Consider the following 25972-nt stretch of genomic DNA (forward strand, 5'->3'; position numbering starts at 1 on the left):
CCCAGCACTTTTGGAGGCCAAGGCAGATGGATCTCTTGAGGCCAAAAGTTCAAGACCTGCCTGGGCACCATGGCGAAACCCTATCTCTACCAAAAAAAAAAAAAAAAAATTAGCTGGGTTGGTGGCACATGCCTGTAGTCCCAGCTACTTGGGAGGCTGGGGTGGGAAGATTGCTGGAGTCCAGGAAGCAGAGGTTTCAGTGAGCCTAGATCACACCACTGCACTCCAGCCTGGGCAACAGGGCAAGATCCTGTCACAAAAAAAAAAAAAAGCCTTTTCATATACATGATCCAATCCTCACAGTGACTTGGTAAGAACACACTATATCCTTTATAAAATATGAAACTGAAGCTAGAGTGTTAAAGATACAATTCAAAAACAGGACCCAACTTCAAAACTCACGCCCTTTCCAACATGGTAAGACAGAAGTCACGATTACTGATGTTGGAGCTATGTATACTTGGAAGTGGAGTGCAAATGCCCAAAGAATAAAACGACATTACTTTTTAAAAAGTTAAACTCTATGGCAAATTTTTACCTTATTACTTGAGTTCTTGTTCTCTACATCAACTGTAACTAGTAACTGTGACATGTGTAATAATGCTCCTGCATCACCAAAAATCTCACATACCATGTAGTAAGTACACAAAATAAAAATCATACAGTCAAAATTATGTTTGAAAGTGTCTTATCACTTATAAAGTGTTGCTGTATACATGGTTTTGTGTTTAGGGTCCTGTTCAAAACATATGTGTAAGAATACATGAGAGGCTGGACACAATGGCTCACACTCACAGTCCTAGCACTTTGGGAGGCTGAGGCAGGCAAATCGTTTGAGCCCAGGGGTTCGAGACCAGCCTGGGCAACATGATGAAACCCCATCTCTACAAAAATGAGCCGGGTGTGGTAGTGCACACCTGTAGTCTTAGCTACTCAGGAGGCCGAGGTAGGAGGATCACCTGAGCCAGGAGGGAGAGGCTGCAGTGAGCCGTGATGTGGCACTGCTGCACTCCAGCCTGGGGGAGACAGTGAAACCCTGTTTCAAAAAATAATAATAATAATAATAATAATAATAATACACGAGAATGTAAGGTAGTACAGACACTACAGAAAATAGTTTGGTGGTTATTAAACTTAGAATTAGTGTATGACCCAGCAATTTCACTCCTAGGTGTATATTCAAAGAACTGAAAGGACTTGAACAGATACTTGTGCACCAGTGTTCCTAACAGTATTTTTGACAATAGCCAAAAAATGGAAAGTAATCCAAGTGTCCATCAATGGAGGCATACACAAAATGTGGTATATCCATACCATGGAATATTAGAATATATTCAGTCATCCTCAGGAACGAGATGGCGGTTCTCTGGAGGCTGAGTGCCCTTTGCAGTGCCCAAGGAGGTCGAGCTCTGTTGCTGTGAACGCCAGTGGTCAGACCTGCTTATATCTCAGCATTTCTTCAGGACCGACCTATCCCAGAATGATGTGGAGTACAGCACATACACTTGTCACCGAGCCACCATTCTGGTTCCAAGGCTGCATCTCTCCACTGGACTAGCAAGAAGGTTTTCAGTGTTTTGCTCCTGGGTCTGCTTCCGGCTGCTTGTTTGAATCCTTGCTCTGCGATGGGCTATTCCCTGGCTGCGACCCTCACTCTTCATGGTCACTGGGGCCTTGGACAAGTTGTTACTGACTATGTTCATGGGGATGCCTCGCAGAAAGCTGCCAAGGCAGGGCTTTTGGCACTTTCAGCTTTAACCTTTGCTGGGCTTTGCTATTTCAACTATCACGATGTGGGCATCTGCAAAGCTGTTGCCATGCTGTGGAAGCTCTGACCTTTTTGACTTCATACTTTGAAGAACTGATGTAAGCCTCTTTGCCTCTGCTTGTCATGCCATTAAGCTCACAATAAGGAAGAAATAACAGATAAGTCTGTTGGTGGACAGCCTTCTTCTCTTAATCACAAGGTTATTTTCAGAATTTAATCTTTGAGGAAAAGGTTTGAGAGGAACTATATCTAAGAAATTGTGAGACTGAGTTCTGTATTCTGGTGAGTTAATGGGGTTGCCTCCCAGCTTCTTATAAGACTCACAGTATAGCTAAACATGATATATGAGCTTTTGCCTTTTAATTTATCAATCTCTTAAAGAGAATCCAGCTTTATTACTATTAGTATATGATCAAACTTCCATATTTGCCCTGGGAATAATGGACAAAGGGAAATACTCTTAATTCATGAATAAAAACTTTGTAGAAAATTAGACAGTGATTAATTTTCGAAAACTTCCCTCTCTAGTCAGTAGATACCACCTACTGATGGTTACATATACCAGGGAAATTTTAAAATTAGGAAGTGCTGATATCTCACATTATAAATTTCTAAATCCTAGGGAGAAATGCTTGGAGTGCTTCTGAATATAGAGAAGTTCCATTTAAGGGCAAGTTTCCCCTTGTAGACGTATCAAAATATTACCAATTGTAAACTTAGATTTATTTCTCAAATGTGTTCTACTTGTTCTAAAACAATCTGTCCACAAATATAAAACTATAAGTAATAAATTGTTATTTTCGCACAATGGGAATCTCTAATGTGAAAATGTATTCTATGAAAATAATTTTTTTAAATAAAATGTTGTATAATAATAAAAAAAGACTATATTCAGTCACAAAAGGAATCAAATTCTGATACATGCTACAACATGAATGAACCCTGAAAACACTATGCTTTAAGTGAAATAAGCCAGTAACAAGAGGACAAATATTTTATGTTTTCACTTTTGGTTTCTTGTTTTTGAGACACAGTCTCACTCTCTCACCCAGGCTACAGTGCAGTGAGTGGTGGGATCATAGCTCACTGCAGCCTCAAAATGCTGGGCTTTATAAAGCAAATCCTCCCACCTCAGCCACCTGAGTAGCTGGAACCACAGGTGTGCACCACCACACCCAGCTAATTTTTTAAATATCTATATAGATGGGGTCTCCCTGTGTTGCAAAGGCTGGTCTTGAACTCCGGGCTCAAGTGATCCTCCCACCTCAGGCTCCCAAAGTGCTGGGATTACAGGCATGAGCCACCATGACCAGCCTGATCTCACTTTTATGAGGTATCTAGAATAGACAAATTCAAAGATACAGAAAGTGGAATAAAGGTTACTAGGGGGCTGGGGGAGAAGAATGGGGAGTTATTACTTAATTTAACAGAGTTTCTGTTTGAGATGCTGAAAAAATTTCTGGAAACAGACAGTGGTGATAGTTAAATAACAATGTGAATGTACTTAATGCCACTGAACTGTACATTTGAAAATGGTTAAAATGGTAAATATGTTACATATATTTTGCCACAATAAAAAAGTCAAAAAAAGAAAAATATGCTGTATACACTTAACTATAGTACATAACAGTACTTTTATAAAATTTTGAAATGATTACTATATTTAATTAACCCTTTAATTTTTTGCCAATCTAATAGATGAATTTTTAATAACTTAAATATGTAGCTAGTGCAAGTCCACTGAATACAGTTACACAGAAATAATACTCCTAAGTATATACTATACAACCAAAGTTATATATACACTGTAATTATACATAATTGAAAGCTATTTATAGATATGAAATACACACACAGACACACACACACACAGACACACACACACATGCACACTTTGGTATTGTATAGCATCTTAAAAGTTTCCATAAATTCTGGAGGTGGTTCTAGCTAGAAATCAAAAAGTGAAAAAGATTAAAAAAAGAAAAAGAAAAAAAAAGTTTCCATAAAAACCATACATGCAATATATACATAAAATTATAAACTATATATTTTTATAATTAGTCTGTTCCCACTAGAATGGAAACTTCAGGACTTCACAATTAGTCTGTTCCCACTAGAATGGAAACTTCAGGAGGGCAGAAATGACCCGGTGCATCACATTTATGACGGTATACCATGCAGCTACAACATGGCTTCCAGTAAATACTAAGCATTCACACATTTGATGAATACGTAAAAGAAAGAATAAATTGTTATATGTCTGTTATAAATGACAACCTTCAAAAATAAGAAACAGCACTTTAAGTTGTCCATTGTTTCTGTATTAGACACATTTCACAAAGCATGTTATTTACATAAACTACACGAAGACAAAAAACAGACTAAAGAGTAGCTATGAACAGTGTGCTAAGTGAAAAAGTTTAAATATCAGCACTAATACTTAATTTCCCCTTTTAAATTAGGTGCCAAAGTACCAATGTATATCTACCATGAATATTCATATACTATAGAACTCAGGACTGTATTACCTTTAGGAAGCTGAAAAGCTTACTTATGTTTTAGAAATCTATCTACCTGACAACTTCTAAAAGCCTCTCTCATTAAAGGTTAAACTGCTGTTATACAAAAAAATCAACTATGTAGGGCTGCTTTCTACCTCTCTATCACTTTGCTATTTATGTAGTAAAATATTTGTATTTTACTTTTCTAAGATGTAAATCAAAAGCAGCATACAAAGCATCTCATATAATTTAACATGTCCCCAGAGATAGCTGGGAATCTCTTCCCAATGGAACTGACTTCATTTGCAAGAGTGTGACGTTCAAGCCTAAAAGCAATATCAAACCCAAGGTTGAGTGAAAGGCATTTTGGAAGAGATTCAAAATACAGGCTAAACTGTAGGCCAGCTAGTTTGCAGGTGAGAACCAGGGAATAAGACAGCTGGGATGCGCCCCTCTGGGTCTGAACAAATTGTACATGCAGTGACCTCGAGAGTCGTATGGATCTGGCTAAGAAGCAATTTATGTCCTAGAGTATTGTTAAAGACAATAGAGTAGTCAGCCAGAAATCAGTGGAGATAAAAAGCTGGGTGTGGTCAGAAAAAGAAACAGAAGAAAGCTCTGCCAAACACTGTCAGCCCAACACTGCCAGGTGCCATGTGGTCATACACAAGTCTGTGCCCCTAAGGAGCAACACCAGAGGCTTAAACACTGCAAGGGGGGAAACAGAAATCACTGAAACAGGGCAACAGAAGTCACTAAACAAATAAGCAAATAATTGTAACAAGCCCTGGAAACGAGCAGGGGGTTGAAAGATCAGTACCCAGAGTTGTTGCAATGTTATACAAGATGTTCAGTTTCCAACATAAAATTACGAGCCATGTAAAGAAATAGGAAAGTGCTGAGTGTGGTGGCTCACGCCTGTAATCCCAGCACTTTGGGAGGCCGAGATGAGTGGATCACAAGGTCAGGAGTTCGAGACCAGCCTGGCCAACATGGTGAAACTCCATCTCCACTAAAAATACAAAAAATTAGCCAGGCGTGGTGGCGGGCACCTGTAATCCCAGCTACTAGGGAGGCTGAGGCAGGAGAACTCCTTGAACCCAGGAGACAGAGGTTGCGGTGAGCAGAGAATCAGCCTGGGTGACAGAGCAACTCTGTCAAAAAAAGAAAAAAAAAGGGAGGGAGGGAGGGAGGGAAGGAAGGAAGGAAGGAAGGACCCATATACCAGAGAAAAATAAAGGCAAAGGACACTACCTGCAAGAGCAACCAGATGATGGATTTAACCAACTTCAAAATGCCATTATAAATATGTCCAAAGAACTAAAGGATACCATAATTGCAGAAGGAAGGTATAATGACAGTATCTCAGCAAATGGACAATATCGATAAAGAGACATTATTAAAAAGAACCAAATGGAAATTCTGGAGTTGAACACTGACTAGAAAAAATCACTAGAGGAGCTCAAAAGTACATTTGAACTGGCAGAAAAAAGAACTGGCAAACTTGAAGACAGATTGATAGAGATGATGCAATCCAAAGAATAGAGAGGAAAAAAAAGAGTGAAAAAAATACAAAGCCTCAGAGAAATATGAAACATCAATAAGCACATGAACATACACATAATGGGAGTAGTAAACAGACAGGAGAGAGAGGGAAAGGGAAAGAAAAACTATCTTAAGTAATGATGACTGTATAAAAATGAAGAACTACAGGTAACACAGATGAATCTCCCAAACATAATTTGAGCAAAAACAGCAAGACAAAGTATACGATGCTGGTCATATAAATTTCAACAAAGGAAACTATATTTTAGGGATGCACATAAAGGTGATAAAAGTCATGATAGTGACTACCTCTAAGGAAAGGGAGACGACTTCAAATGGCAAGGGGTGTATGGGGCAGGGGGATTCTGAGGTACGTGAAATATTCTGCTTTTGACCTCGGAAGAGTCTACAAAGACATCTACTTTATAACGAAACTGTACCTGTTTTATATGTTTCTGAATGTATATTTCCTTTTTCAAAGTTTTAAAAGAAAGAGACACTAGCTGCAAATTTCCAAGAATTGGTTAAAAGTAATCCCTAGACCCAGAAAGTACAACATACCCAAATGTGATCAATAAGCCCACATCCAGATACAAAGTAGTAAAATTGCACAACACTAAAGACAACAAGAACCATAAAGGAAGCCATAAAGAAAGAATCCTTCACCCAATGGAATAATTAGAGTAACAGCAAGTAACAGCAAGGAAGCCAGAAGGCAGTAATGTATCTTCAAGATATGAAGAGAAAATTACTGTCAACCTACAACTGAGCACCTAGGAAATAACAACCCTGAAAAAATGAGAGTAAAATTATAAAAAGACATTTCAAAGACAACTGAAAAGACTTTGACATGGACTAGGTGTTAGATGATGTTAAGGAATTACTGCTAATTTAGTTAGGAATGAGAATATTGTGGGTTTTTTTTTTTTTAACCTCTTCTCTAGGAGATACATTCTAAAGTATTGACAGACTTCATGATTGGATATTCCAGCAGGAAGGAAGGCACAGAGAGGTAAAGAGACCCCTCTTTAAACATGAAATTATAAAGTATCAATAACAGGAAACTGAGGAATGGAAATACTGGATTTCATCATAGCATTTGTTCTACTTTCATGTATGCTTAAAAAATTTTCATGACAAACAGCTAAAAATAGTCAGGCACAGTGGCCAACACGTGTAATCCCAGCTACTTGGGAAACTGAGGCAGGAGAATCGCTTAAGCCCAGGAGTTCAAGGCCAGCCTGGGCAACATAGTAAGACCCTGACTCAAAAAGAGAAATGAGGCTAAATTAAAAATTAAATAAACAAAAACTGGCAATTTACCACTAAAAGACCTCCACTAATGAAACTTCTGAAGACGTTTTTTAAGAAGGAGGAAAATAATCCAGGAGGACAGTCAGAAATTTTTTTTTCTGTTTGTTTGTTTGTGTCAGGGACTCCTCTGTCACCCAGGCTGGAGTGCAGTGGCGTGATCTCGGCTCACTGCAACCTTCGCCTCCTGGGTTCAAGCGATTCTCCTTCCTCAGCCTCCTGAGTAGCTGATATTCTGGTTAAAAGTAATCCTTAGACCCAGATTACCAGGCAGGTGCACACCACCACGCCTGGCTAATTTTTGTATTTTTGGTACAGACGGGGTTTCACCATGTTGAATAGGCTGTTCTCAAACTCCTGGCCTCAAGTGATCCACCTGCCTCAGCCTCCTAAAGTGCTGTGATTACAGGCGTGAGCCGCTGTGCCCAGCTACAGTCAGAAATTGAAGGCATGGTAAGGAAAGATGTGGTAAAAATGTGCGTAAACTGAATCACACATTTCTCTATAAAATAACAACAATGTCTGTCTAATTTGTTAGATTTAAAAAGGATAAAATGTCTATTGGGAGGGGAGTGATATAAGATAAACTGCTCTAAGGTCCAACTTAAAGAGTAACATGAATGGTCGGGAGGTCAAGGCATTAAGAATCACTTGAACCCAGGAGGCAGAGGTTGCAGTGAGCCGAGATCACGCCACTGCACTCCAGCCTAGGTGACAAAGTGAGACTGACTCAAAAAAGAAAAATAAGACCCTCCAGAAAAAGAGGGTAAAAAAAGAGTAACATGAATGGTAAAATTTCAAGGGTAATCACATAATCCTCTATGATCTACTAACCCCACCTCTGCATAACAGCCTTAGAGAAACAGTTGCACATCTGCATGAGTAGAAGCAATTGCAGGAATGTTTTGCAATAGCAAAAAATTGGGACTCCCAATGTCTATCAATAGGAAAGGCTAAGTTACTGTGTATCAGTAAAATTAAATAAAGCAGTTTTAAAGAACTAAATCTGTACATACTAACATACTGAATGAAAAGAAAACTAATTGCAGGTACTGTATAACAGTTGTGTTTTGTTTTGTCTTGTTTTTGTTCGAGAGATTCTCATTCTGTACCCCAGGCTGGAATGCATGGCATGATCTTGGCTCATTGCAGCATCCACCTCCCGAGTTCAAGCAATTCTCATCCCTCAGATTTCCTAGTAGCTGGGATTACAGGCATGCACCACCACACCTGGCTAATTTTTGTATTTTTAGTAGAAATGGGGTTTCATACATTGGACAGGGTGGTCTCGAACTCCTGGACTCAAGTGATCTGCCCGCCTCGACCTCCCAAAGTGCTGGAATTACAGGTATGAGCTACCACACCCAGCCAACTGTTTTTACACTAAAAAAGAAATCATACATGTTCTCTACATATGTATAGTATAAGCAAACCCTTAGGGGGAAAAATGACATATAAACTGCTAATAGTGACTACCTTTAGGAAAATAAAGAAGGGAATGGGAGCAATCAGAAAGCTGAACCTTATCTATGTGTTTTTGCAAAGAGACTATTTATGTATTTCTTCTATAATAGCAATTAATTTTTAAAAGGCAACTTTTTAAAGAGTATTAAACTTTGAATCCTTTGAGTGCAAAGACTGTGCCTATGTTATTCAACACTGTACCATAGACATGTGCAAGTATTATATGCTCCCAAAACTGTATATGGAGGATGGCAGAGAGACAAATAAAACAGTGATTCAGGTTGTGTGTAGTGGCTCGCAGCTGTAATCCCAGCACTTTGTGAGGCTGAGGAGGGAGGCTCACCTGATGCTAGGAGTTCAAGACCAGCCTGGGCAACATAGCGAGACCCTATCAGTACAAAAAATAGCTGGGCATGGAGGAGCACACCTGTAGTGCCAGCTACTGCGGAGGCTGAGGCAGAAGGATCGCTTGAGCCCAGGAGTTCAAGGCTGCAGTGAGCTATGATCACGTCACTACACCATAGCCTGGGTGACAGAGTAAGAACCTGTCTCTAAAAGAGGAATAGTAATAAAAGAGTGTATCAAAGGACATGTAAGAAAATAGGGACAGGCATGGTGGCTCACGCCTGTCCCAGAACTTTGGGAGGCCAAGGCAGGTGGATCACCTGAGGTCAGGAGTTCGAGACCAGCCTGGCCAACATGGCGAAACCCTGTTTCTACTAAAAATACAAAAATTAGCCAAGCGTGGTGGCACACACTTGTAATCCCAGCTACTTGAGAGGCTGAGGCAGGAGAACCACATGAACCTGGGAGGCGGAGGTTGCAGTGAGCTGAGGTCGTATCACTGCATTCCAGCCTGGGCAACAAGAGTGAAACTCCATCTCAAGAAAAGAAAAAGAAAAGAAAATAGCAGTGTCTGTCACTGAGTAGAGGGCTAGAGGTAGTTCGTTTTCTTCCTTTTATTTTTCAATCTTTAGAAATGAACGTTTACTTGTATAATGAGAAAAACTATATTAAATTAGTTGAAAATTTAAGTATGACGGACAAATAAAAAGGGACAATAGAGTGATGAGATGAAAAAACTTCTGAATGTATAATTAGAGATTAGCATCAGTATGTTTCCTATCAATTTAATGCTCAGGAGGAGGCCAGGAGTTTATAAAATTAAAGGCTAAGCCCGATGAAAGTGTTATTAATAGGTAAAATCAAATCTGCACAAAATCGAAGCTGAGACTAATTAGTGTGCTAAATAATTCTCTACCACACTTGTGAAGGTTGTCAAGAAAAGGAATTGCCTATATCAATTTATTTTCAACTGAAAAATACAGTTTTATTTGGGGGAAAAAGTATCTGATAGGGTATAACACCTTTGAAGTTTGTAAGGACTTATCTAGAAACCTAATTAAAACAAAAGGATCCAGGTATTATAAGCTTAAAACCCTTCTAGTCCGTCTGGACTCCTATAAATTAGTCTTTTTAGAGATACTTCTGTACATCAATTTACAGTATACCACTAGTAATGGATAAAACAGAAAAAATTAATCCAAGGAGAAACACTAAACTGAAAATGAAGTGCAAGACCCAGTCTTAGCCAGTGAATTTTTTTTTAAGCTCATGTTTATTAGCCTGGTTAAATGCAACCACTTCTTTAGCCAAACTGTCAGCTAGTCACTTACATTCTACCACCTCCTAAATTCTAACCCCAGATGGCATGCTACTAATCTTATGCTCCTTGCCCACCAAGAGATCTCTGCCAGTGTATCTGTCTCAAACTTCATTCAGGAATATCCTGCCACCACTTCTGCAGTTTTACTTCATGGAAAGCATTGATTCATATGGAAGTCCAACCTTTCAGTGTTTTGGGCTAGGTAGGGCATAAGGGGACATGGAGGAAGCGTACAGTAAGACAGAATTCATAAAGGAGGGCAGATAACAGGTATCTGGGTAAATAATGATTTTTAAATGAAAGAAAATGATTTTTGAAAATTTAAACAAAAATAAAACAATCAAGCTTATGTATGAGTATTTTCCTGGAATTGTTTTATATATATATGTTATATTATATATATATAAAATATAACATATATATGGATACAAAAATATTTTTATATATAAATATATATAATAAATATATATATTTTATATATATATATATATATATTATATATATAGCTGGTACAGCAGCTCATGCCTATAATCCCAGCACTTTGGGAGGCCAAGGCAGGTGGATCGCTTGAGCTCAGGAGTTCAAGACCAGCCTGGGCAATATGGCGAAACCCTATCTCTATAAAAAATATATATACATATATATATATATATATATTTGATTTCTAGATATGCTACCATGCAGCCATCTGGAATAAAACTAAATAATAAATACTTTTAAGGGGTCTAAAATACAGAAATATAGCTATTAATTCTTCTTTAAAAGGAAGAAAAAATTTAGTGTTTTAACATTTGTTCCTCTCTAATCTCCATGTGTGCCTCACTTCTATTATGACTCAGTAAAGCCTAGAATGGTAACCGTTTTACACCATAAAACTAAAATAGTAAAGTCAAGAGTCCTCTGGTCCACACACAACTAGTTCATTCCTGTTTCCAATAGAAAATGTTAACCAAATTAGTATTACTACAGAAAGTCTCACAGAGAATGTATATGTCAGAATGTTTTCAAGAATAAAACAAGGCCGGGCACAGCAACTCATTCCTGTAATCTCAGCACTCTGGGAGGCCAAGGCAGGTGGATCGCTTGAGCTCAAGAGTTAAAGACCAGCCTGGGCAATATGGCGAAACCCTATCTCTATAAAAATAAAAAATTAATTAAAAAATTAAAAAAAAATAGCCAGGTGCGGTGGTACGCACCTGTGGTCCCAGCTACACAGGAGGGTGAGGCAGAAGAATCACTTGAGCCTGGGAAGTGGAAGTTGCAGTGAGCCAAGAGTAAAAGCCTGTCTCAAAAAAATAAAATAAAAAAAGTAAATAAGTAAAAACAAAAAGGAGCTTGAGACCAGCCTGGGCAACGTGGTGAAACTCCATCTCTACAAAAAGTACAATAATGAGCTGGGTATGGTGGCGTGTGCCTGTAGTCCCAGGGGGCTGAGGCACAAGAATCACTTGAGCCTGGGAAGAGGAGGTTGTAGTGAGCCGAGATCATGCCACTTCACTCCAGCCTGTGTGACAGAGTGACAGCGTCTCAAAATAAAATAAAATAGAACAAAACAAAACATTCTGTAAACGTAAAGGACCAAATATACACAACACTAGGTCAATTACAATTGTGGAAAACAAATTGGTCAGCCACAGTGGCTCACACTAGTAATCCCAGCACTTTGGGAGGCTGAGGCAAGAGGATCACTTGAAGCTAGGAAACCAGCCTGGACTACAAAGCGAGGCCCTGTGTGAAAAAAGGACAGGACAGGACAGGAAGAGAAAGAAAGAATAGCCAGGCACAGTGGTGTGTGTCTGTAGTCCCAGCTACTTGGGAGGCTGAGGTGGAAGGATCACTTGAGCCAAGGATTTCCAGGCTGCAGTGACCTAGGATCATACCAGTGCACTCCAGCCTCGGGAAGAGAGCAAAATCCTGTTCTCCTAAAAAAAAAAAAACTATGTGGCGAAAAAAAAAGCTTTAAATTCATATAGCAATGCCAACCAATTCAACCAACTCAAAGGCTGTGCTTTGAATATAGAAAATAATGGTCAATACATATATGGGTGCTAGTTTTACTAATCTTGAAATTGCACATAAATATATTCTATACACATTTAAAAAACAATTTCAAAATAAAAGTCTACCAACCATGGACAAAGGAATTTATTTTGCAACAAAAGTGGTCTATTTAAATAAATACATACTTCAGGTGTCTTCAGGAAGTTTAAGCCCACAGGTTTAAAAAAAAAAAAGACTAAGGCCAGGCACTGTGGCTCATGCCTGTAATCCCAGCACTTTTGGAGGCTGAGGCGGGCAGATTACTTGAGGCCAGGAGCTCAAGACCAGCCTGGCCAACATGCTGAAACCCTATCTCTACTAAAAATAAAAAATTAGCTGGGCATGGTGGTGCATGCCTGTAGTCCCAATTATTTGAGAGGCTGAGGCACGAGGTGAACCTGTGAGGTGGAAGTTGCAGTGAGCCAAGATTGCACCACTGCACTCCAGCCTGGGCAACAGAGCAAGACTGTCTCAAAAAAACAAACAAACAAAAAAGACTAAAACATATAAGCGTGTTAATATCTGAGAACAGAATATTTTGTTTACTTAATTGTGGGATGGAAACTCACTTACACCACTGCCATCTTAGAAAGTAAAACCCCCATTTAAAAATGTAACATTGACGAAAACAGAAGAGAATCTAGACATTAGGAAACATTTTTGTTGAAGGGCTAAACAGTAAATATCTTATGCTTTACTGGCCATTCAAACATTACAATTACTCTACTGCTTAAATGCAAAGGCAGTCACAGGCTATACACAAATGAGTAAGTGTGGCTGTATTCCAATAAAACTATCTACGGACATTGAAAACTGAATTTCAGTTAATTTTCTCATATTACAACAAACTGATTTTTTTGAATTATTTTTTCTACCATTCTCTCATGCCTCACAAAAACAAGCAGCAGGAAGGATTTCTGCAGTGGGATGCAGTTTACCAACCTCTGCTCTGATCTAAATCAACGAGGAAACCTCACAACTGATCATAAGTCTAAATCCTAGACCTCTTTCAAATCTTTTTATCTTATACTTCTTCCTGAAGAAATCTTTTGACTACATATTAGGCAAATGGTTTCTCTCTATTCTAAGGATGTACTTTTACAAGCTGTGGTATATAATATGAAATATAATCATCCGTCGGTATCATTGGAGGACTTGTTCCAGGACCTCCCCACCTTCTATGGATACAAAAATCAGAGGAAGCTCAAGTCCCTTATATAAAATGGTTTACTATTTGCATATTACATATGCAATCCTCCCATTTATTTTAAATCATGTCTAGATTACTTATAACTCGGTAAATGCTATATAAACAGTTACTGTGACATAATTTTTTTATTTATATTTTTTGTTGTCTCCACCCCATCCCCGAAAATTTTCCATCCATGGGTAGTTGAATCCACAGATACAGAAGGCCAACTGTATATAAAGGGTTCAGTACTATCTGCGGTTTCAGGCAATCACTGGGGGTCTTGGAACGCATCACCCATGGATAAGGGAGGACTACTGTGTAAGGTGGGAAAAGAAGTAAAACTAGTCTTTATTTGCAGATGATAAGATTTTGTACATAGAAACCCCAAAATAACAGAAAACTACTATAACTACTAATTCAGCAAGATCACTGGCTATAAAACCAATATATAAAAATCCACTGTATTTCAAAATACTAGCAACATGCAATGGAAACAAAGTAAAATTGTAATAACACTTAAACAGCATCAAATAAAACATCAAATATCAAGGAATAAATTTAATGAGATGTGCAACACATTTACATTAAACCACAAAATACTAGAGAGAGAAAAGAAAGAAGACTGGATGTTGGCAACAACAGGGAGCATACAGTTGTAAAAGGTCAGTATTATCTAACTGTACTTCAATAATACACAGTGAAAGGAAAGGAAGGGAAGGGAAGGAGACAAAGGGAAAGAGAAATGGAAGGAAGAAATGTTATTTGAGGTTTAATTTTATGATTTGGCTAAGTCAAAATCTGTATCTGAAAGTAACACCAATGCATGCTTTTGTGGAAAGAAGCATTCTCTATGATACACAGTATCTCGCATTGTAAGGGATATACCTTAAAATAGTACTATTTTCTTTGGACAACTAACTATCATTATTACATGCTCAGCCTATTTAAACTTTAAGAATAATAAATTAATAGGATTTTGAGATAAGTTCTATTTTAATTTTTCCAAAAATTTGTAAGTTTCAATGGCGTTTCCACGCTTCTAATACTATTTTACATAAAATATCTGTTCTCTTTGTGACTTAAAACTCTATTCAGACTTAATTTTTCCATACCCAAAGGGAAATTACTTAACTTCATTGTAATACAATTAGCAATGACATAAAAGCAACAATTAGAAAAAATATCTAAGTCACCAAGGACTCTATAGCATATAAAACTTTCTGTACCTATACAGATATCAAGAGCATATGTATGTGCATGTGTGTGTTTTGTAAAGGATCTTACTGCATACAGTTCTGGAATTTGGTCTCCCCCACTCTTAATGCAATCAACATTTCTCCTTTGTGTAAATCATAGGTTACGACTCTCAATGAATATTATATTCTACTACACAGATGTCCTATAATTTATTTAACCAGTCTCCTGTTACTGAACATTTGTTTCAAAGTTTTTGCTACTGTAAACAACATTGTAACAAACACTCCATGTGTGTTGATTTTCCTCATTTATGTTATTTCACCTACACAGGCATACCCAGAAGATATTGTAGATTCAGTTCCAGGCACCTGCAATTACCACTATAAAGCAAGTCACACAAATTTTTTGGTTTTGTGGTGCATATTAAAGGTATGTTTACACTATACTGTAGTATATCACATATGCAATAGCATTATATCTAGAAAACAATGTATACACCTTAATTTAAAAATACTTTACTGCTAAAAAATGATAAGATCATCTGAGCCTTCAGACAGTCACAGTCTTTTTGCTGGTGGAGGGTCTTGCCTTGATGTTGATGGCTGCTGATTGATCAGGGTGGTCGTTGCCAAAAGATGGAGTAGCTGTAGCAATTTCTTAAAATAAGACAACAATAAAGTTTGCCACAGCCATTGACTCTCTCTTTCACGAAAGATTTCTCTGTAGCATGTGATACTGTTTGATAGCATTTTACCCACGTAGAACCTCTTTCAAAATTGGAGGCAATCCTCTCGAACCCTGTCACTGCTTTGTCAAATAAGTTTATTAAATATTCTAAATCCTTTGTTGTCATTTCAACAATATTCACAGCATCTTCAGGAGAAGGTCCCATCTCTAAAAACCACTTTCTTTGCTCATTCTTATGAGGCATCTCCTTATCTGTTCAAATTGTATCATGAGATTGCAGCAATTCAGTCACATCTTCAGGCTGTACTTCTAATTCTAGTCATCTTGCTATTTCTACCATATCTGCAGTTACTTCCCACGATGAAGTCTTAAACCTCTCAAAGTCATCCATGAGAGATGAAATCAACTTCTTCCAAACCCCTGCTAATGTTGGTATTTTGACCTCCTCCCATCAATCAGGGATGTTATTAATGGCTTCTAGAATGATGAATCCTTTCCAGAAGGTTTTCAATTTATTTTGCCCAGATCCATTGGAGGAATCACTATCTACAGCAACTATAGCCTTATGAACATTGTATTTCTTAAATAAGATTACGTGAAACTCAAAATTACTCCTGGATCCACGGACTGCAGAATAGATGTTGTGTTAGCAGGCATGAAAACAACATTAATCTCCTTGTACATCTCCATCAAAGCTCTCAGGTCACCAGGGCAATGCACAGGGACAGTTTGAAAGGAATCTTTTTTTCTGAGCGGTAGGTCTCAACAGCGGGCTTAACGTTCCCTAAACCATGCTGTAAACAGATAGGCTGTCAGCCAGGCTTCCTACCATTCTCTCATGCCTCACAAAAACAAGCAGCAGGAAGGATTTCTGCAGTGGGACGCAGTTTACCAACCTCTGCTCTGATCTAAACCAACAAGGAAACCTCACAATTGATCGTTAAGTCTAAATCCTAGACCTCTTTCAAATCTTTTTCTCTTATACTTCTCCCTGAAGAAATCTTTTGACTATTAGGCAAATGGTTTCTCTATTCTAAGGATGTACTTTTACAAGCTGTGGTATATAACATGAAATATAATCATCTGTCAGTATCCTTGGAGGACTTGCTCCAGGACCTCCTCGCCTATGGATACAAAAATCAGAAGATCATAAAGTCCCTCATATAAAATGGTTGTTCCATTTACAGAGCATAGGCAGGGTAGATTTAGCATAATTCCTAAGGGCCCTGTGGTTTTCAGAATAGTCCATGAGCACTGACTGCAACTTGAAGTCTCCAGCGGCATTAACCCCTAATAAGAGTCAGCCTATCCTTTGAAGCTTTGAAGCCTTGAAGCCAGGCACTGACTTCTCCTTTCTAGTAATCAAAGTCCTAGAAGGCTGTTTCACCTACATTGAAAATCTGTTTAGTGTAGCCATCTTCATCCATGATCTTAGCTAGATCTTCTGGACAACTGACTACAGTTTCTACATCAGCACTTGGTGTTTCACCTAGCACTTTTATGTTATGGAAATGGCTTCCTTCCTTAAACATCATGAGCCAATCTCAGCTAGTTGCAAAGTTTTCTTCTGTAGCTTTCTCACTTCTCTCAGCTTTCATACAATGGAAGAGAGAGCCTTGCTCTGGATGTGAGTTAGAGCTTTGCTCTGGATTAGGTTGTGGTTTAAGGAAATTATGTGACTGGTTTCATCTTCTAGGCAGACGACTCAAACTTTCTCCATGTCCACAATAAGGCTGTCTCGCTTTCTTATCATTCATGTGTTCACTGGAGTAGCACTTTCAATTTCCCTCAAGTTTTCCTTTGCATTCAGAACTTGGCTAATTTTTTGGTGCAAAAGCCCTACTTTTTGGCCTATCTCATGAGGCTTTTGACATGCCTTCTTCACTGAACTTAATCATTTCTAGCTTTTGGTTTAAAGTGAGAGACATGTGATTCTTTCTTTCATTTGAACACTTAGAAAATGACCTAATTTCAATATTGTGTTTCAGGGAGTAACGAGGACCCAGAGGGAGACAGACAGAGCAATAGCCAGTCACCAGAGCAGTCAGAACACATACAACATGTATTAATTAAGTTCATCATTTTACGTAGGTGCAGTTCCCGGCATCTCAAAACAGCTATAATAGTAACATCAAAGATCACTGACCAGAGATCACCGTAACAGACATAATAATCATTAAAAAGTGTGAAATATTGTGAGAATTACCCAAATGTGACACCGAAACATGAAGCAAGTATATGCTGTTGAAAAATGCCACTGATAGACTTGCTTGACTCAGGGTTGCCACAAACCTTCAATTTGAAAAAAAAGCAGTATCTATGAAGCACTTATTAAAGCAGTACACAATAAGGCAACTTACGCCTGTAATTCTGAATTGCCTGAAACGGTTCTATGTGACCATGTAGAGCTTTCTTCAGGATTCAACAAATTTTTTTCTGCAAGGGCCAGATTGTAGGTATTTCAGGCTACATAGGCACATACAATCTCTGTTCTATATTCTTTGTTTTGTTTTTACAAACCTGTAAAAATGTAAAAAGCATTTTTAGCTCATGGACTTTACAAAAAACAGTCCATGAATAGGATGGGGCCTGCAGGGCATAGTTTGCCAACACCTGGTTTAGATCACATTCTACAAAGATCTGTGAAAGCAGAAAATTACCCCACAATTTTAGGTGGTGTGTGCCAGTCACATTTTTTTTTGAAAGTCTAGTGTAATGATTCTTAGCTACATTTAAGAAATAAATTTCATATATCCTCTTTTAATTCTCACCCCCACACAGACTAATCAAAATTTATAATTTAAATTTTTATGAAGTCTAGTGTGCAAAAAAGAAATAAGCAATTTTAAAGATTCTTATTAGAATAAATGGTTTTGCTAATGTTCATAACTTATCAACTACTTTTATCAAATATTCAGAAGATACTCCCTGAAAGGCTGCTCCTAACAAACCCTGTACACCCAGCTGTGGCTACATAATGCCTCACAGCTACAGGAATAAATATCATCATCGAATTGTCCTTATCTCAGTTCACAGCCTGTCCCTGCTTTACCTATTAAATCTTTGGAAATAACAAGCAGAGGCCGGGCGCAGTGGCTCACGCCTGTAATCCAAACACTTTGGGAGGCCGAGGCAGGTGGATTATCTGAGGTCAGGAGTTCAAGACCAGCCTGGCCAACATGGCAAAACCCCGTCTCTACTAAAAATGCAAAAATTAGCCAGGCGTGGTGGTGCACCCCTATAATTATGGCTATTCAGGAGGCTAAGGTGGGAGAATTGCTTGAACCTGGGAGGTGGAGGCTGCAGTAAGCCGAGATCGCACCACTACACCCCAGCCTGGGCGACAGAGCGAGATCCCGTCCCAAAAAAATAAAATAAAATAGAAAAAGGAAATAAGCAGAGCAAATATAATAAAATAATATTAAAAATTAACTGTCTTTTTTTTACCAAGATGAAATTTCAGTAAAATATCTTTAACCACTTCAGCAAACTCTTCTCTTTAAAAAAGGATAAGAACTGCGACAGTCCAGAGATTTATTAAAAGAAAGAATATCCGTCTTAAGAGTATATTCACTTTATATTTCCTATTCCCTTATAAAAAAAAATCACTTGAAGCAAACAATGTTTGAACAGAAGGAAAAAAGGTGAAAAAAAAGGAAAATTTTTAAAAGAGAAAACAAAGAAGGTAGATTTGACAGGTGTAGGTTGGAAGACTAACAGAGAATTCTACAACTTTTATAATATTACCAACTTCAGCAGAGTGTGGAGTGCTTCTAAAAAAAAAAAAATCTATGTTTTTAGTTCTTTTGGTTTCCAGTAACTGTGCTGGAACATTAGAACCAGCTTGGGAAGTTACAAAATATAATTAACCTACCAGTTCTGTCCCCATCTCCCTCGATCCAATCTCCTTATTCTGGTCTACTCTAAAAGGTCCACTTTACAGTCATCCCATCTGCACTCTAAGAGAAAAGGGGATAGGAGGGATCCAGGAGAAAAAAAGGGATGAAAGGAATGAAATAATAAAAGACTGGAGGAGAGTTATCAACCGCATGTCACAAAGACCCTTACTCTCACAGGAAACTCGATTCCTTCCTAATACTTCCTTATACTTTTGTCCATTACAGCTTCTGAAGATTTTCTTACTAATGAAGACCTCTTAACATGCAAATATTAAGCACATTCTGTATTTCAATTAGATTCAAATTAGAAAGCATTAGAAAATAAGGTGTGTATAGCAGATCTAGGTTACAGTCTTGGATTCTTAAAATAACGAGTTTTGAGAAGTTGGTCAAGTCATAGGTTTCTATAGACCTGAGCTTCGGTCAGTAAAATGAAGAGGTTGTATTAGATAAACCTCTAAGATCCCTCCCCATTCTAAAACTCTAAAAATGTAAAATGATTACAGTAAACCTCTTGCAGTTAAGCAACGGATTTTAAAGGGATTAAATAATGTGATAACCTTCAATCTTCTGCATATGGCTAGCCAGTTATCCCAGCACCATTTATTGGTTAGGCAATCTTTTCCCCACTGCTTGTTTTTGTCAGCTTTGTCAAAGAACAGACAGCCGTAGATGTGCAGCCTTATTTCTGGGCCCTCTATTCTGTTCCATTGGTCTATGTCCCTGTTTTTGTACCAGTGTCATGCTGTTTTGGTTACTGCAGCCTTGTAGTATAGTTTGAAGTCAGGTAAAACAATGCTGGACCGCTACCTTATACCATGCACAAAAACTAACTGAAGATGGATTAAAGACTTAAATGTAAAACCCAAAACTATAAAAACCCTGGAAGACCGGGCACGGTGGCTCATGCCTGTAATCCCAGCACTTTGGGAGGCCGAGGCGAGTAGATCACCTGAGGTCAGGAGTTCGAGACCAGTCTGGCCAACATGCTGAAACCCTGTCTCTATTAAAAATACAAAAACTAGCTGGGTGTTGTGGCAGGCGCCTGTAATCTCGGCTATTCGGGGGGCTGAGGCAGGAGAATCGCTTGAACCCAGGCTGTGGAGGTTGCAGTGAGCCGAGATCGCGCCATGCACTCCAGCCTGGGGGACGACAGTGAGACTTCATCCCCCCACCCAAAAAAAAAAAAAAAAACCAACCAACCAACCACCGTGGAAGACAACCTAGACAAATACCATCCTGGATGTAGGAACCGGCAAAGATTTCATGACAAAGACACCAAAAGCAACTGCAACAAAAGCAAAAATTGACAAGTGGGATCTAATTAAACTTAAGAGCTTCTGCACAGCAAAAGAAACTATCAACAGAATAAACAGACAACCTACAGAATGGGAGAAAATATTTGGAAACTATGCATCTGACAAAGGTCTAATATCCAGCATTTATAAGGAACAAACAAATTTACAAGAGAAAAACAAACAATCTCATTAAAAAGAGGGCAAAGGACAAGAACAGACACTTCTCAAAGAAGACATATATGCCACCAAGAAGCATATGAAAAAAAACCCTCAATATCATTGATCATTAGAGAAATGCAAATCAAAACCACAATGAGGTATCATCTCACACCAATCAGGATGGCTATTATTAAAAAGTCAAAAAAAAAAAAAAAACAGATGGTGGCAAGGTTACGAAGAAAAGGGAACACTTATATTGCTGGTGGTAATGTAAATTAGTTCAACCACTGTGGAAAGCAGTATGGCAATTCCTCAGAGCCAAAAGCAGAACTACCATTCAAACCAGCAATCCCATTACTGAGTATATACCTAGAGGAATATAAATCATTCTACCATAAAGTCACATGCACACGAATGTTCACTGCAGTGCTATTCACAACAGCAAACACGTGGAATCAACCTAAATGCCCATCAATGACAGATTAAAGAAAATGTGGTACATATACACCATGGAATACTATGTAGCCATAAAAAAAGAACAAGATCATGTCTTTTGCAGGAATATGGATGGAGCTGGAGGCTATTATTCTTAGCAAACTAATGCAGGAACAGACAGCCAAATACTGCATGTTCTCACTTATAAATGTGAGCTAAATGATAAAAAACTTATGAATACAAAAAAGGAAACAACAGACATGGCTCTACTTGAGGGGGAAGTGGGGAGGGTGGAAGGAGGGAGAGGAGCAGAAAAGATAACTGTTGGGTACTGGGCTTAATATCTGGGTGATGTGACATGTGTTTACCTATGTAACAAACCTTATCATGTGCCCCCAAACCTAAAAGTTTTTAAAAAAACTGTGATAACCTACAATAGGAATAAAATACAATGCTAATCAACATTCTATAATACTATTAAATTTTAAAATAAAATTTAAAAATAAAAAATAAAATAATTTTATAATTCTAAAATTTAAGTCTGTCACCATTCTCAAGAAAACTGTTATTTAATAAAGCCCAATGTTTTGATATTTACTGTTAATAAATGGCTTTTAGTGTTTAGTAATGACCAGAAAAATCTAAAGATATTGCACAAATGAGTTTTTCCTAAGGTACAAGAAACACAGATTAAAGCTACTAATTTGAATTGGAAGAGAATCTGAATTAGAGTACTTTTTTGTATACATACTATTATTTTATACATCAGATTGCTGTTGATACACTAAATTATCACAGATAATTTGGAAGACAGCTGGGCTATTAAAGTAGATTTTTAATAAATCTGGTGTATTTCCTAAGCTGCTGCTCTCTGGTTTTAATAAATTAATTTTAAATAAAAGGACAGAGTTCACTGTTTAATTCATTTACATGTTTATATTTATATAAATGTACAAAAATCCAAGCACACACCCATTTTAATGGAATATTTTTTTCTATTACTGTTAGATTGGATCTCCCCTTGGAATCTTCACCCACACCAGACATGTGTATATACACGCTGACTGCTACTCCCACAACACACGCCCACATTTTTGTATTTATGGCAGAGATCAGTAATTTATAATTATTCAATACAAGTCCCCTCTTATCCAAGGGGAATACATTCCAAGATCTCCAATGGATGCCTGAAGTATGTAATACTTGATGATAAACTATGCTACTGGTTTATGTATTTACTACACTACACTTTTTATCATTATTTTAGAGTTTACTCCTTTCTACTTATGAAAAAAAGTTAACCGGAAAAGCAGCCTCAGGCGGGTCCTTAAGAAAATATTCCAGAAGAAGGCACTGTTATCAGAGATGACAGTTCCATGTCCAGTGGGACAAGATATGGAGGTGGAAGACAATGGTGATGATCCTGACCCTGTTTAGGTGTGGGCGAATGTAAGCATGTGTGTGTGTTTAACAAAAAAAAAAAATTTTTTTTTTTAATTAAAATAAGGCCAGGTGTGGTGGCTCATGCCTGTAATCCCAGCACTTTGGGAGGCCGAGGCAGGTGGATCACTTGAGGTCAGGAGTTCGAGACCAGCCTGACCAACACGGTGAAACCCCAGCTCTACTAAAACTACAAAAATTAGCCGGGCGTGGTGGCCAAGTGCCTGTAATCCCAGCTACTCTGGAGGCTGAGGCAGGAGAATCGCTTGAACCTGGGAGGCAGAGGTTGCAGTGAGTTGAGACTGTACCACTGCACTCCAGCCTGGGCAACAAAGCGAGACTCCATCTCAAATAATAATAAATAAAAATTAAAAATTAAAATAGACATAGCTTACAGAGTAACACTATGAAGAAAAATTTGTAAATATGTACAATGTGTGTTTTAAGCTGTGTTATTATAAAAGTTAAAATTTTTTTTAAATTAAGAAGTTTATAATATAGACCATGTATGGTGGCTCATGCCTGTAATCCCAGCACTTTGGCAGTCTGAGGTGGGCGGATCATGTGAGATCAGGAGTTTGAGAACAACCTGTCCAACAACATGTCTCTACTAAAAATACAAAAATTAGCCAGGCGTGGTGGCATGCACCTGTAATCCCAGCTACTCAGGAGGCTGAGGTATGAGAATCGCCTGAACCCAAAAGGCAGAGGTTGCAGTGAGCCAAGATCACACCACTGCACTCCATCCAGCCTGGGCAATACAGCAAGACTGTCTCAAAAAAAAAAAAAAAAAGTTTATAATATAAAAATGTTAAAGCAGCAAGCTAAGGTTAATTATTGAAGAAAATTTTTAATATAAATTTAGTGTAGCCTAACTATACAGTGTTTACAATGTCTACAGTAGTGTACAGTAATGTCCTAGGCCTTCGTATTCCCTCAACACTTACTCACCAACTCATCCAGAGCAACTTCCAGTCCTACAAGCTCCATTCATGGTGAATGCCCTAAACAGGTGTACCATTTCTTAATCTTTTATACCATATTTTTACTATACCTTTTTCATGTTTAGATATGTATAATACACAAATACCATTGTGTTACAAATGCTTTCAGTATTCACTACAGCAACATACCATACAGGTTTGTAGCCTAGGAGCATAGACTATACCAAATAGCCTAGGTGTACAGTAGGCTGCACCATCTAGGTTTGTGTAAGTACACTCCATGACATTCACACAACAACAAAATAATCTAATGATGCATTTTTCAAAACTAGCCATATTGTTAAGCGATGCATAACTGTACATTTCCATTTCTAGGACAGAGCATTTCAGTTTTTAGTAATGTTTACTTTTATCTTTCACCATCTGTGTATTTTCCAGGAAACTCAAGTTTAACTCTTTTTAAAACGAAAGATCCTATTAGGCATATACTATGTATCAGACATAATACTAGGCATTTATGATGATCATGATGATGATGATGTTGCTCAAGGAAGAAATATTAATGATTAATAAATTTACTAAGCACTCTGTCACCTTCACTCTGTTTACACAGGCAAATTTCAGGTTCTTCAAGATTTCAAAATTTATCAACTACGGTCTAAACATAGCTATGCAAACTACTGTGCAAATCTGTCTATTCCATGCTGCCACTACTTTCCCCACCATCGCTGTGAGTCAGCCTTCTTTAGTCAACACTTTATGATGTAAAGACATAAAATTTCTGGGGCCTGGCACAGTGGATCATGCCTGTAATCCCGGCACTTTGGGAGGCTGAGATGAAAAAATAGCTTGAGGTCAGGAGTTCAAAACCAGCCTGGACAATATAGCAAGACCCCATATCCACAAAAATAAAAAATAAATTAGCTGAGCATGGTGACGTGCATGTGTAGTTCCAGCTAGTTAAGAGATTGGAGCAAAAGGCTCTCGAGCCCAGGGGTTTGAGGATGCAATGAGCTATGATCATGCTACTGCACTCCAGCCTGGATGACAGAGCAAGACCCTGTCTCCAAAAATTTTTTTAATTAAAAAAAGATAAAAAACTTCTGGAAAATATGAATATCTGAGGAAACACAGTGTGCGAATGGTAAAAATAAAGGAAAGAACAGAGAGAAAACAAGGAAGTTGGTGCTTTAATTAAGCACACTTTTTAATTTAAGCACACTTCTTCATTTCTTTCACAAATTTTAAAGTCATTTATTGGTTTACAAAAATAAAACATCATTACAGATCGGCCAGGCGTGGTGGCTCACGCCTGTAATCCCAGCACTTTGGGAGCTCGAGACGGGCGGCTCACGAGGTCAGAAGATTGAGACCATCCTGGCTAACACGGTGAAACCCCATCTCTACTAAAAATACAAAAAAATTAGCCAGGCTTGGTGGCAGGCGCCTGTAGTCCCAGCTACTTGGGGGGCTGAGGCAGGAGAATGGCGTGAACCCGGGAGGCAGAGCTTGCAGTGAGCAAAGATGGCACCACTGCACTCCAGCCTGGGCGACAGAGCGAGACTCTGTCTCAAAAAAATAAAATGAAATAAAAATAAATAAATAAATAAATAAAATATTATTACAGATCACTTGATGTGTGCCTAAGGTCATATTTTGAATAGTTAATTTGTAGATTCCAGAAGCAAAGGAACAATACATTTCCCCACTCTCAGATAAGCCATGAAGAACTCTACCAAAAATTTCACACATCTCAGCTGGGCGTGGTGGCTCACACCTGTAGTCCGAACACTTTGGGAGGCCAAGGCAGGTGGGTGACCTGAGGTCAGGAGTTCAAGACCAGCCTGGCCAACATGGCAAAACCCTGTCTCTACTAAAAATACAAAAGTTAGCCAGGTGTGGTGGTGGGCACCTGTAGTCCCAGCTACTCAGGAGCCTGAGACATGAGAATCGCTTGAACTCAGGAGGCAGAGGTTGCAGTGAACCAAGATCATGCCACTGCACTCCACTCTAGCCTGGGTGACGAGCAAGACTCTGTCTCAAAAAAAAAAAAAAAAAAATTTACACATCTATTCCTTCCCTGGACTTTTGCTTAGAGTACCTATTGGTATGTTTTCCACTTTCCCTTTACAGCAAATTAGCATGTAGTTCACTATATGTCAGAATCAATTCAAACCCTTATGCCTTACTCTTAATATTATACTTATTATCTTCCTTTTTTAATATTTACCTTCCATCCAAGGAAGGCTACAAAGAAATAGAAGAGGATATGGGACCAAGGCCTGAGTAACTCCAACCTTTAGAGACTGTAATGGAGAAAGAAGCAGCATGTGAAGACCACAGAAGGTTCTCAAGAAGGGTAGGAAAGAAATCAGGGGTGTAATGGCAGTGAAGATTGAGAAAACTGAACAAGTTTGACAAATAAT

General features: G+C 38.3%; 1 protein-coding gene and 1 pseudogene across 16 annotated transcripts in view; one reads left to right on the forward strand and one right to left on the reverse strand.

Annotated features, from left to right (window-relative positions):
- Positions 1–25972, reverse strand: part of CNOT4 (CCR4-NOT transcription complex subunit 4) — a 148308-nt gene that overhangs the window by 81303 nt on the left and 41033 nt on the right. The window lies entirely within an intron of this gene.
- On the forward strand, positions 1343–2643 carry SDHDP2 (succinate dehydrogenase complex subunit D pseudogene 2; annotated as a pseudogene).

Source organism: Homo sapiens, chromosome 7 (genome assembly GCF_000001405.40).
Source record: "Homo sapiens chromosome 7, GRCh38.p14 Primary Assembly".
NCBI lineage: Eukaryota > Metazoa > Chordata > Mammalia > Primates > Hominidae > Homo > Homo sapiens.